The 14,204-nt window shown below is 40.1% G+C and overlaps 1 protein-coding gene across 30 annotated transcripts in view; it reads right to left on the reverse strand.

Annotated features, from left to right (window-relative positions):
- The window catches only part of OCA2 (OCA2 melanosomal transmembrane protein), a 380,308-nt gene that overhangs the window by 312,290 nt on the left and 53,814 nt on the right, over positions 1 to 14,204 (reverse strand). For all 30 annotated transcript variants that reach the window (XR_001751294.2, XM_047432619.1, XM_047432618.1 and 27 more), the window contains one exon: positions 768 to 866. Coding sequence is in view for 29 of the 30 variants with exons in the window: in XM_047432619.1 (XP_047288575.1) it covers positions 768 to 866 (99 nt within the window). In the remaining variant the exon portion in view is untranslated. The remainder of the gene's footprint in view (positions 1 to 767; positions 867 to 14,204) is intronic.

Here is a 14,204-nt window from a genome sequence, read left to right on the forward strand (position 1 = left end):
TAAACTGGGTTCTGATATTTTTTATTATTTCAGTTTGACAGTGACAATGTCACCAAGTTTGTGACGTTCAAGGAGCCAGGAAACATGGAGCAGGCGGCTCAGGCTTCTGGCGGTTTGTTTGCAGAAAGAAAAGAAGATTGAGGCTGCAGGCCTGGCCCAAGGCCCTTCATCCCAGAAGGAAGCATCTGTAACTTGCCCTCCAGGACAGCTCTCCTCAGGCAATTCCAGAACCACCCTGATTTGTGCCCAAAAAGGACCTGCAAGTTTGCAGGAAATTGAGTTTTCTTGTGAAACACATATACAGGGTTTCTCAACTTCGTCACTACTGACATTTGTGCTGGATAATTCTTTGTGGTGGGGGCTGTCCTGTGCATTGCAGAATGTTTGGAGCATCCCTTGCCTCTACCCTTAGATGCCAGAAGCATCTCAGCCCTCAGTGTGACAACCAAAAGTGTCTCCAGACAATGCCAACCTCACCCCTAGCTGAGAAACCCCAGCCTGGTAAGACAGCCCATCAGAGCTTTGTGCATGCATGAGTGTGCGTGTGTGCTGTGCAGTTGCTGCAGGGTTATGCTCAAGGCCATCTGGAAATTAATATCCACAGAATATAACCACCGGAATCATGAACATCTACTACAATAAATTGTCAAGGATCTGGCAGAGGTTAAACATGTCCAATAAAAATTCGTGTCTCAAGTTCTCCAGCATACATGCCAGGTGCAATGCTCAGAAACTCTTACTTTCATATGAGGGGGAAAATATCTCACCCTTTCTCCTGTAAGGAATTCCTCAGCAAAGGAGTGTTTTCTGTAAAGCAGGAATCTTTAGACCTGGAGCTGGACATCTGGGGCAAAGAAGAGTGAGACCTGAAAGAGACAGGGTAGGAAACAGAATCACCAACACAGAAATAATGTATGTGTTCCCAGCACTCAGGTGCTAGATTCAAGAATGTGCCCAAGATTCAGTGATAAATCTTACAAGGAAATTTGCCTAAGGGTCTGTCTGAATTGTAAAAGGCTGAAGTTTTAGAAGACACCATAAGAAAGACCTCTTCTCCCCAACTCAATTGAAAATGCATGGCAGAAACTCGCACAGGAGACCAAATACTATGGGATGACACTTTTAGGCTCACTTTTGCATTAGCAGGAGATTCAGGCCACCTTTGCTATTTCATGCAGAGCTTCTCATCAAGAAAAACATTCAGAGGGACGGGCGCGGTGGCTCACGCCTGTAATCCCACCACTTTGGGAGACTGAGGCGGGTGAACCACAAGGTCAGGAGTTCAAGACCAGCCTGGCCAACGTGGTGAAACCCCACCTCTACTAAAAATACAAAAAAAAAAAAAATTTAGCCAGGCATAGTGGTGGGTGCCTGTAATCCCAGCTACTCTGGAGGCTGAGGCAGAGAATTGCTTGAACCTGGGAGGCGGAGGTTGCAGTGAGCCGAGATTGCACCACTGCACTCCAGCCTGGGTGACAGAGCGAGACTCTGTCTCAAAAAAAAAAAAAAAAACAAAACAAAAAAACATTCAGAGTCTCATTGGTGCTTTTGTAGGCAGAAAATTCTATTTCCTAAAATCACAAGCAGTTCACATTTAAAATATCCTAATGGCGTCCATTGGAAGACCAAACAGAACAAATCAGGACCAAGGGGTTGGAATGAGACGACAATCAGAATGGCAAGGAGGAAGCTCTCCAAGGACAGCAGCCACAACTGAAGCAAAGCAAAGGTTTGCACTGGGCAGGATGGTCCTCCACCACACTGGCCTGCCTGCCATATGGAAGGACCACCATAAATGTATCATTTAAATCAGGAGCTTGTGGAAAAGGAAGTAACTGCACAACCACAACCGGCATGTATGGTCACCCTCATTAAAGGACACATGATGTTAAAAGACAACCAGCTTTCCATGAGAAGTTGTAGGAACAATTTTCGTTCCTGATCACTGAGAATATGTCATTTTATATGCTGATGCATTGCCTTTCTTACAGGATCCCAGGCCAGGTAGAGATGCTGTAGATGCTATGAAACATTCACCTAGGGAAATAACAGTAATTCTTTCTGATCACGAATGCACAACAAAGGAAGAAATTTTAAGAAAAATATTTTTGCTTGCTTCTTTCTCATTCAAGCATTCACCTGTGAGATAGACAATAAGACTTCTGTGGATGAATAAAACATGGGCCCCTGAGTTGTGTCTAACACCAGCACCATGCCTCTGGGAAGTCAGAAAAGGAGTCTGTCTGGGGCCAGTGAATATCCGCTGGGCGTCATCTCTGGGCAGCACTGGGCCACTTCCCATGGAGAACACAGGTAATTGAGGACTCTCCTCAGAGACTTAACGGCCAGTAGAGGTCAGCAGGGCAGGAGAGAGAATTACAAAGTAGGTGGTTTAACTTTGCCAGATGAAGGTAGAGAGATTTGGAAGAATCTCTCTGCCCAAGAGATTTAATAATTAGCATGCTTTTAGCTGCTCAAACTGGCTTATAGTTGAGATCCTCCCACCCCTGTTTCCCATAACTATAAATCTGTAACTGTAACTCCCTAGGTACATTTAGAAAATGTCACAGTGAGTGGACCAAACAACCAGATGTTTTCTGATGCTCCCTGGGGTGGTCTAGGGGAGCTGAGTGTTACGGAGACGGTGACCTCCCTCCCATTATTGAGCCCTGAGCTTCCATTTTCTCAGTCATGCAATGTAGATTAAAAGAAAACAAGGCCAAGCATGGTGGTTCCAACCTGTAGTCCCAGCAAGGTGGGAGGATTGATTGAGGCCATGAGTGCAAGACAAGCCTGGGCAACATAGCAAGACCCCATCTCTATGGAAAATAAAAATAATAAAAAATTGTCTGGGCATAGTGGTGCACACTTGTAGTCCTAACTACTTGGAAGACTGAGGTGGGAGAATCACTTGAGGCCAGGAGGTCAAGGCTGCAGTGAGCTATGATGGAGTCACTGCACTCCAGCCTGGAGGAGACCCTCTTGCTTTAAAAAAAGAAACAAAAATCCTTGGTTTTCTTACATTAACTAAGGAGATGTAAATGGAAAACATAAAGATAGATTGTGGATATTGATTCACTGAGGTTCATTAGACTGTGAGCTCCTTAAGAATGGCTGCCATGTTTTCATCTTGTTTTATTTGGTACTGTAAGTGGCACCCAGTTCAAAGTAAGTTCTTAATAAATACTCAATAATGAGCCGGGCACAGTGGCTCACACATGTAATCTCAGCACTTTGGGAGGCCAAGGCAAGTGGATTGCTTGAGCCTAGGAGTTCACAACCAGCCTGGGCAACATAGCAAAACCCTGTCTCTAAAAAAATTCAAAAATTAGCCGGGTGTGGTGGTGTACTCCTGTAGTCCCAGCTACTGGGAAGGCTGGTGGAAGGATTGATTGCTTGAGCCTGAGAGGTCAAACCTTCAATGAGCTGAGGTTGTGCTACTGCACTCCAGCCTAGACAACAGACCAAGACCCTGTCACAAAAACAAATACATACATACACACTTAATAATGAATGGGTTAAAACCTAGTAATCATAGCTTTTTTGCATGAGATTGGCTTTTTAACTCAAATAAAACAAGTTTTCTAAATCATTAAATCAATAATGTTTATAGACTCAATATCAACCCTCTGACGAGAGGGTCAGGAGACCCTCAGGAGAGGGAGAGTGCTCAGGAGAGTGCCCAGGAGAGTGGAGGCGCTATTGCTCCTTGGAAAGCATGACCCATGGGGTCTCAAAACAGCCCACAGCAGCACCACATCGCACAATGTGGAGGATTTACCTTCTTGCCACTAAGAAGGAAAATTAGAAATGGGGAAAAATCCAAAGTCCATTTTATCTTCTCTGTGGTGGCCACATCTGGCTGATTTTTATTACTGTTTAACACTTACATTTATGCACTTTGTGTATACAAAGTATTTTATAATTGTAGTTAAGCATATAGGTAATCATTTCTGAGCTTTTTTATGTAATTATATTTCTAAAAATCCAAAAATAAAATGAGTTTCACCAGGCAATTTCCTAAAGAGACTTTGGGCCATTCCAATTTAAACTTAACACCATCCGGATACCATTTTCAATGTTCCAAATCCATTCCTCTCTGCAAATAGGGGAAGCACCAAGGAGGCCTTGGGGCCCTGTTGCTTGATAGAATCCCTGGCCTGTGATCCAGAGAGCTCACAGATCACATGTAGAGAAGATGCAGGATTGCCCAAAAACATTTTCCAGAGGTTGAAAATAAAAATGGTGGTCCACAAAGCTGAAAGCCCAATTTTTTCTCCTTTTGACTTCAATAAGGTAGAAAATATTGATGAGATCTATATTATTCCTGACTTTTCCTCTTCTGAAAAAAGAAATCCCATTGACATTTTTCTGACTTCAGTCTAAGACTGAGCACTGTCTAGTTTTACTAATTTCCACATTGTCTGATTTCCCCCATGTCTCAATAAACTCTGTATATACATTTACAAAATCCCTATGTGCCTATACATTTATAAGCATTTATAAGCTTATAAATGCCTATACATTTATACTTATTTTAAAGGAAATTACAGAAGATAACACATAAAACAACTGCAACTGTACATAATTCTATTAATTCAGAGATACCCAATGTTAACATTTAGAGAATTTCCTTTCAATGTTCTTTTCCTACATATAAATGAATATTTTCAGGTCAGATTCATACATATGAGTGCAGAGACACACATTCACACATATACATATTCACGTATACAAATTGCCTTGTCCTCTAATTGTTCAGCTCAGCTATCTCATTAGCATTTCACAGGTTATCAAATATTAGCTATTCTTCTACAATGTGATTTTTAAATGCCAGCCATCATATTCCATTACATGGATCATCAAATTATGCCTGACCATCTGTCTGTTGATGGAAATTTAGGGGATTTCTGGTTTTTCACCTGGGTAAATAACAAACACTATGTGAGTCCTGGTAGATAACTCTTTGTGTGTGCCTTTAATTATTTCCTTAGGATAGATTCCTAGACGTGAGGTCACTGGATCAAGAAGTTTCTTGGTGCCCATGGTCCTTTTGCTGGAAGAGAGCCTGTCCCCATTACTCCCTGTTTCAGTTACAGGCAGGAACAAACCGCTATCCCCACTAGTCCTCGGTATCAGCCATGTTTAAAATCCTCAAACAGTAAGTTTTAAACAGCCAGAATTGATGGATCTGAGGCAGATCCACCATTGTCAAGAACCCTTGCTACCATGATTATTAATAAGACAGGTTCATGTCAGACTGTGAGATGGAAACAGTTTCTTGCCCATGCCTCTGCCTCTTCTGCCCTCTTCTTCAACAGCTTCCTCATCCCTAGATCCCTTGGTTCTTTCTAGATCAAAACACTTAACAATCCTATGATGCTTATATCATCATATTGACAAAAAATGAGCTAAAAAATGTTGAAAATATTGAGTACCTAATATATGAACACTTCCAAAAGAATTTACATTTTTAAAGGCCAAAAAAGAGACAGTGGTTAGTGCAAATGACAGCTTGGGGAGGTGGTGATTGGGGTACCAGGCATGGAGGAAGAGGTTTGCCCTCAGTCTTTCTTAGGCCCTGTGCCACATAGGCACCATTTATGCAGCCATTGCTGAGGTCAGTTCTGCTGGACAAGATGATACAGAGCCGGTAACAAGGAATACAAAGTGCTTTCACTGCCTTAACCTGTGCATGACCAAATTCACATCCACAGATTCTCCAAGGGATGCCTGCTCAAGTCATATGCAGGCTCTTTCCCAGGCACCACTCAGGAAGACCACAGAGCAGGCAGGAAGGTCGAGAGCCAATGGCTCAGGACAGAGGGCAGGTGGCAGATGGCATCAGCCATGCAGAGCCGTGTAAAAGAGCTGCTGGGAGTGGGACCAGCCTGGGAGTGGGACCAAGAGAAATCAAGACAGGGCCAGACTGGGAGTGGGACCAAAATAAATCAAGCAGAAGTCAGAGGGCAGGAAGGCAGCTGGTGGTCCCTCTACACCCAGGTCAGGAGGTCTGTAACAGGAAGGACCCCAGTGGTTGGTAACATTGGAGATCAGCTGTGGGAAAACCAAGCTGAGCAATGAGGCCTTCTCTGTAACAGAGCCTATGCAGCAGTGACCAGGAGGGGTCCCTCATGGGAAGTATCTCCAGGGCAAGAGACAGGCCGCAGACAGCAGAAGCGGGTTTAGGCCTTCTACTTGGGGCCCTTCACTCTCTGTCCCAATTGCTTGACAGTATCTCTGAAGTATCCTGTAGACAAAAGGCCTTTTCCCCACCATATTATTACCAGGATTTTAGTTGATGAGTATTAATAACAACCATGGTCATTTAAGCAAGTACTTTCTATGTTAGGCTCTTGCTGAAGCTATCACCTTTTTTATCTCATTTAACCTTCATGATAACCCTGAAGGTAGATAATATTATCCTCATTTTAAAAGGAGCAAATGGGACTCAGGATAGGCTCCCAGCTGCTGAGGGCAGGGCCAACATGTGTCCAGCACCTGATGCCATCCCCCAGCCCTTCCCTCCCACCAGAAGGCAACACATCCCAGCCTGAGGATTGTGCCAGGCATGGTACCCTCTGTACAGATGTACTCTGCATGGAGCAGCAGTCATGGGGAGCCACAGCAAGCCAACAGAACCCAGCCCTCCTGTAGCCCCCTCTGCCCAGCAGGCTGACTAGCAAGGTTTCACCTGTCTGTTTCTTTCTCTCTTTCTCTTTCTCTATCCCTATCTCCTCCCTTCGCTATTTCTCTTTCTGTATCCCTATGTACTCTTCTCTCTTCTCCTCTCTTTCTCTCTCCCTCTCTCTGACAGGGACTCTTGTTTGCGGCCTGTTTTCATCCTGGCTTCACTGACCCAAGCTGCCTTTCCAGGAGGAAAAAGCAAACTAGCAGGCAGTGGTAAGGCTAGGTTTACCCCAAAAGCAACCACACAGAACACAGCCAAACATGTTTCCCATAGACAGAAGGCAGATCTGAGGAAGAAACATGAGTAAGGAAGCTGCCAGCTCTCATGGGCAATTTTTCAGAAGGCTTGGAAGGAGACTATGATTCCTCACCCGTGTACAGTCAGAGCCTCTGGGAGTCTGGCATCATTCTGTATGAGCAAGGTCAGCCCTTTAAGTGTAACGTAACACAGAAAAAATACAGTGCAAAGTTCAGCACAGCTTTGCATAGTGGCCCTATGCACACATTTTCAGGAGATAGAGTCACAGAACAGGGAGAGTACAGATTCACAGACTTCTCAGGAAAGAGATTATGGGTAAAGATAGACCACAGTCCATCTAAGGCACCAAGGTGAAGTTTGAATGAGACTCTTTGGGAAATTAAAATATTGAAAAGTGTACTGAAAAACCGAAAAAAACACAAACATGATCAAGCAAGATGCATGCTCAGAAAACATCTGAGAAGACTGTAAGCACTCACCTCATGCTGGTCTCTAGGTTCAAGGCACACCCAGCCAGTTATGAAGGATTGACCCAGCACAAAGCCATTTGGCAAAACATGGATAAATAACTAAACAAAATCAGTGTAAATGGACTAAGCTCTCCAATCAAAAGGCAAAGAGTGGCAGAATGGATTTTAAAACACACACACATACACACAGTTCAATTATATGCTGTCTACAAGAGATGCACTGTAGATCAAAAGACATAAATAGGTTGAAAGTGAAAGGATGAGAAAAGATATTTCAATGCTAGTAGTAACCAAAAGAGAGTTAAGACGAAATAGACTTTAAGACAAAAACCGTTACAAGAGGCAAAGAAAAATATTATATAATGATAAAAGAGTCAATTCACCAAGAAGTTATAACAACTACAAATAATATGCACCAAACATTAGAGCTCCAAAATATATGATGCTGACAAAACAGGAGGGAAAAATCACTCTACCATAATGGTTGAAGACTTCAATACTTCACTGTTAATAATGGATAGTATAGCCAGACAGAAGATCAATAACAAAACAGAAGACTTGAACAACATTATAAACCAATTGGACCTAACAGACATATACAAAACACTCCACCCAACAATAGCAGAATACACTTTTATCTAATGTGCACATGAAACGTTTTCCAGAATAGACCATATGTTAGGACACAAGTTTTAATAATTTTTAAAAATTTGAAGTAATACAAAGTATCTTTTCCAATCATAATAGGAATGAACTGGAAATCAATAACAGAAGGAAAACTAGAAAATTCACCAAAATGTGGAAATTAAACAACATACTCTTAACCAATCCATCAAAGGAGGAATTAGAAAACACCTGTTATGGGCTGAACTGTGTAGCTTTGAAATTCCTATGTTGAAGCCCTAACCCCTAGTACCCCACAATGTGTGAATGTGTTTGGAGATGAGGTCTTTCAGGAAATGATTAAGTTAAAATGAAGCCATTAGGATGGATCTAAACCCAATCTGACTGGTGTCCTTATAAGAAGAGGAAGTTTGGCCAGGCGCGGTGGCTCATGCCTGTAATCCCAATGCTTTGGGAGGCCAAGGCAGGTGGATCACAAGGTCAGAAGTTCAAGATCAGCCTGGCCAACATGGTGAAACCCTGTCTCTGCTAAAAATAAAAAAATAGCCGGGTGTGGTCGCACGCACCTATAATCCCAGCTACTCGGGAGGCTGAGGCAGGAGAACTGCTTGAACCCAAGAGGCGGAGGTTGCAGTGAGCCAAGATTGTGCCACTGCACTCCAGCCTGGGTGACAGAGAGAGACTCCATCTCAAAAAAAAAAAAAAAAGAAGAGGAAATTCAAACACTTCAAACACACAAAGAGACACCAGGAGCACACATGCACTGACAGAACCATGTGAAGAGGAAGGAAGAGTGGAGCCATTGCATGCCAAGGAGACAGGACTCAGAAGAAACCAACCATACCAGCACCTTGACCTTGGACTTCTAGCCTCAAGAACAGTGAGAAAATTAATTTTTGTTGTTTAAGCCACACAGTCTGGCATTTTGTGATGGCAATTCTAGCAAACTAATATAATACCTTGAGACAAATGAAAATGAAACATAACACATCAAAATTTATGTGGTGCAGTGAAAGCAGTACTAAAAGGGAAATTTATAGCTGTAAATGCTGACATTAAAAAAGAAGAAAGATCACAAATTAGCAACCTAATTTTATACGATAAGGAACTGGAAAAAGGAGAACAAACTAAACTAAAAAGCTAACAGAAATAATAAATATTAGAGAGGAGATCTGTAGTGAATTTTAAAAATAAAGAAAATTAATGAGACCAAAAGTTGGTTTTTTGAAGAGATTAACAAAATTGACAGATCTTTAGCTAGACTGACTAAGGAAAAACTCAAATTATTAAAATCAGAAATGGAATCAGGGACATGACTACCAATTTTTAAAAAATAAAAAGTATTATAAGAAAATACTATGAACAACTGTATGCCCCAAAATTGGATAACCTAGATGAAATGGACAAATTCCTAAGTACACACAACCTACCAAGACTGAATCATGGAGAAATAAAAAAATCTGAATAGACCTACAACCAGGAAAAAGATTGAATCAGTAATCAAAAACTTCCCAACAAAGAAAAGCCCTGGATGAGATAGCCTTACTGGTGCATTCTACCAAACGTTTAAAGAAAAATTAACACCAATTCTTCTCAAACTCTTCCAGAAAATTGAAAAGGAGGGCAAACTCATTCTGTGAGACCTAACTTCCTAACTTATTCTATGAGGCCAGCATTACCCTGATACCAAAGCCAGACAAAGACACTATACGAAAAGAAAACTACAAACCGATATTCCTGGTGAATACTGATGCAAAAATCCTCAACAAAATACTCAATACTAAGCAAATCAAACTCAGCAGCATATTAAAAGTATTATACACCATGATGAAGTAGGATTTATTCCTGGTATACTGAGATGGCTTAAAATGGGAAAAATCAATCTATGAAATACACATTAACACAGTAAAGAAAAAAAAACGTGAGCATCTCAACTGATGCAGGAAAAACATTTGACAAAGTTCAACACCCTTTCATGATTAAAAAAAAAAAAAATGCACACCCTCAGCAAACTAGGAATAGAAGGAAACTACTGTAACATAATAAAGACTATTTATGAAAAACGCACAGCTAACATCACACTGAATGGTGAAAGACTGAAAGCTTTTCCCCTATGACTAGGAACAAGGTAAGGATGCCTGTTTTGCTACTTCTACTCAATGCAGTATTGGAAGTTCTAGCCAGAACAGGTGGGGAGAAAAACAAATGAAAGGCATCCAAACTGGAAAGGAAGAAGTAAAATTATCTCTATTTGTAGATAACACAACTTTATGTGTAGAAAACTCTAAAGACTCCATTTTTAAAATCATTAGGATTAATAAATTCAGCATAACTGAAGGATACAAAATCAACACACAATGGTATATTCACACAATGGAATTTCACACAATAGTGGAAATAAATGAACTACAGCTAAACAAATCAATATGGATAAATCTTAGAAACATAATGTTGCATGAAGAAAAATAGAAGAATACACACATGATGCAATTTTTATAAGGCTCAAAACCAAGACACACTGAAGAATACATTGTTTAGGATAAATTTATTTGGTTTTAGATAGAAAGAGTGAATGTGCATGAGATGAGAGAGAGAGAGAGGCATGCGTACACATACAGGAATTTTAAATACACAATTCCAGAGAGAAGTCTCCATGTTGGGAAGCAAAGAGATGGGGTAAAAGAGGAACAATTGGTTGGTGAGCATACAGGGGTTTGTAAAAACTAAACTTCATAACCTATCCATATGTTACATATATTATTTTGTGTAGATCAAATATTACATGCTATTTTTAAAGGAAGAATGAACTTATCAACTTGAAAACAAGAGAAATTTGCACAGTAAATAAATGATACAGGGAAGGATAGAAAATAGGAATTCAAGAAATGATGGGATGAAAGACTGTACTGAAACCCTGAAATACAAGATGAAAACTAATCATTTCTACTTATCATTTCTAGCTATTCTATGAAATGAAGAAACTCTTATTTTAAAAATGCCTTCGGGCCAGGTGCGGTGGCTCACGCCTGTAATCCCAGCACTTTGGGAGGCCAAGGTGGGTGGATCACTTGAGGCCAGGAATTCAAGACCAGCCTGGCCAACATGAGGAAACCCTATCTCTACTAAAAATACAAAAAAAAAAAAAAAAAATTAGCTGGGCGTGGTGATACACACCTGTGGTCCCAGCTACTTGGGAGGCTGAGGCAGGAGACTCACTTGAACCCAGGAGGTGGAGATTGCAGTGAACCAAGATTGCACCACCGCACTCCAGCCTAGGTGGCATAGTGTGACTCTGTCTCAAAGTAAATAAATAAATAATAAATAAATAAATAAATAAATAAAATGCTTTCTAAAAATTAAGGGACTTGGAGGTAAAGTGAGTATTAATAGGAATATTAAAGTTTCAAATGAATTGCCAAACCAAGATGCCCTGTATATTATATATTAATAGTAGCAGAAAAAGGGATTAAAAGAATGCAGTCTTTACAAGTGAAAAGTTTTTTCACTTTCTCTCTCTGCCAACATAATAAAATTTTATTCGTTTATACTCCACCAATCCTAGCAGTGCCCCCTAATTGGAAAATATGTTAGGGTTGATGGTAACCTTTGTTCGAACAACTAGTTTCATTACAGAGGGTGCAAATTAATATTTTTAAGAGAATGTCTACAAACTGTTTTTAAAATGCTTCCAGACAATTTGTAAGGACAGTTAACACAAGAAATATTGAATATAAATGGATATTAATAATTGGCAAAAAAGTATAATCATATGCCCCAAAGCCTGGGGAGGTATTCACTGAGAAATATTTACAGGAGCAATTTTAGGATTACTTGGATGTAAGAACATCACCTGTATTTAAGGTCTAATTTCAATTGTCCTTTCCCCTAAGGAAAGTAGTTTAAACAGCAAGTAGGCCCAGTGGTAGGATTTTTGAAGTTTACAATTCAACAGAGAGACGGAGAGGTGGTAGGGTAGTGCCTGAGCCCAGTGAGACACAAGAAGTAGACATACCAGAAATAAAGCCAAACATGCATGGCTGTTTCTATCCAGCTTGCTGTGAAGCTGGTGATCGCTCAATAAATCTCCAAAAATCACAATAAAGAAGATTGGTGCCCATTTTTTCTGGGGCTTACACACAGGTAGTAAAACAGAACATTCGATCCTTGGGCTTAAGTAATTCCTCAGACATAAGGATGCAATCCTTCCTTTTCAAAGCAAACGGATGGAACATGAAAGACTCCTGTTTAGAGAACCACTGCCATGTAATTAAGCAAGTTTTCAAATCTCAGCCCAGTGTGCAAAGAAATCAGTATTGGAAGGATTGTTTTCAGGCAGAAAAAACCCGAGGGAAGAAATCAGACCAACATTCACTCCAGTTAGCTGGAAAGCCCCAAAATTAATTATTAACATTAGATGGGCTTGTGACTGGGCTGGTTATTGAAGAGATAAATCATTTTTATTGCACAAAGCACAGAAGTATACTCCTCCCAAAACAAACCAGATGGGCTATGCTTTTCAAGGAAGAAAGATAAGATTCTTCATGTTAATGAATGATGTGCAGGCCATGAGTTAAAAGCTGTATCTTTTCCTAATAGCCATACTTTCACAGAAAGGCCAATGAATGCTTGAGTCCTGGAAAGGAAAACATTGAGCAATGTCAACAGGAACACAGATGGGCAGACAGTACCTCCATATGTTATTGGATGAAGCCTGAGCTCATTCCATTTTGCCAGAGTAGACAGCTCTCTGAAAGACCATTTTACAACTTGTGTTAACATTTTTCATATTATATATGTGTATGTGTACAACTTGCTCAACAGTGATATCCCACATAAAAAAAGGGGAAGTATAGTCTTAAAAAATTATTCTAACCAATATCTAATTTGAAATCAATGAAACATTCAAGGGCATTCTCTGAAATGATAGTAGGTGGCAACGCATGCATGAAGCAGATGGCAGATTGTCCCTATCTCATGTTCCTAGGTAGACTCTGCCAGTGACACAGTGGCTAGGTATATTTCCTAAGCTCTTCTTCGAAAACCACTGGCCTTCCTGGATACTTATCCAGGATGCTTGTCCAGGATGCTTGTCCAGGAGATTCTTGTCCCAGTGGCCTGGCATGGACCTGACACATACACGGCCTGGAGACTCGTCACAGTGAATAATAGCACATTTCTCTGCAGATGGCAATTATCCCTGCCACGTGCTACAGGCATCTGAACAAGTCATGGCTTTACAGGATTTTCTGTCTATTTGTTCTATTAATTAATAAGAAGGGGGTATTGAAATCTCCAACTATGATTCTTTCTTGTGTTCTATCAGTTTTTGCTTCGTGTATTTTGCAGCTCTGTTACTAAGTCCATATGCACTGTGAATTATGTCCTTGGGATCAATTGACCCCTGTATCATTATGGTCTGGCCTTCTTTGTCCCTAGTAATATTCTTTGCTCTGTAACCTACTTTTTCTGATATTAATATAGACATCCCATTTTTCTTTGGACAGTATCAGTTTTAGCACTGTATGTCTTTTTTCATTTTTGTATTTAACCTATCTCCATATGTTATTTTAATACTTAGAATGATTTTAATACTTAGAATTGGTTCCTTTATAAGTAGCATATAGTTCAATTTTTATTTCTTTCCCAATATGACAATGTCTACCTTTTAATCGAGATAATAAGTCCATTCACATATAATGTGATTAGAAATATATTTAGATTTAAATCTACCATCTTGATACTTGTTTTCTATTTGACAATCTGTTCCTTGTTCCCTTTTTCTGCCTTATTTTGCATTAATTATTTTGTATGATTCCATTTTATCCTTTTATTGGCTTATTAGTTATAACTCTTTTTTATTCTAGGTATTGCTTTAGGGTTTACAGTATACATCTTTAACTTCCCACAGTCTAACTGAAAATGATATTATACCCATTGCTAGAGAGCATACAATAGGAATATATACATGTATGTACACATATACAGTATATAACACTTTACCTCTATGGTACACTGTGGTTCACATACAAGAAGAGTGTGCTTCCATTTCTCTCCTCAGCCTTTGTATCACTGCTGTCACATTTTTACATGTGATATGAGACGCACACTTCATTTTGATTATTTTTATTTCAATTGCCAATTACCTTTTAATGATAAGAAGG

This window comes from Homo sapiens, chromosome 15 (assembly GCF_000001405.40).
Source record: "Homo sapiens chromosome 15, GRCh38.p14 Primary Assembly".
Classification (NCBI taxonomy): domain Eukaryota; kingdom Metazoa; phylum Chordata; class Mammalia; order Primates; family Hominidae; genus Homo; species Homo sapiens.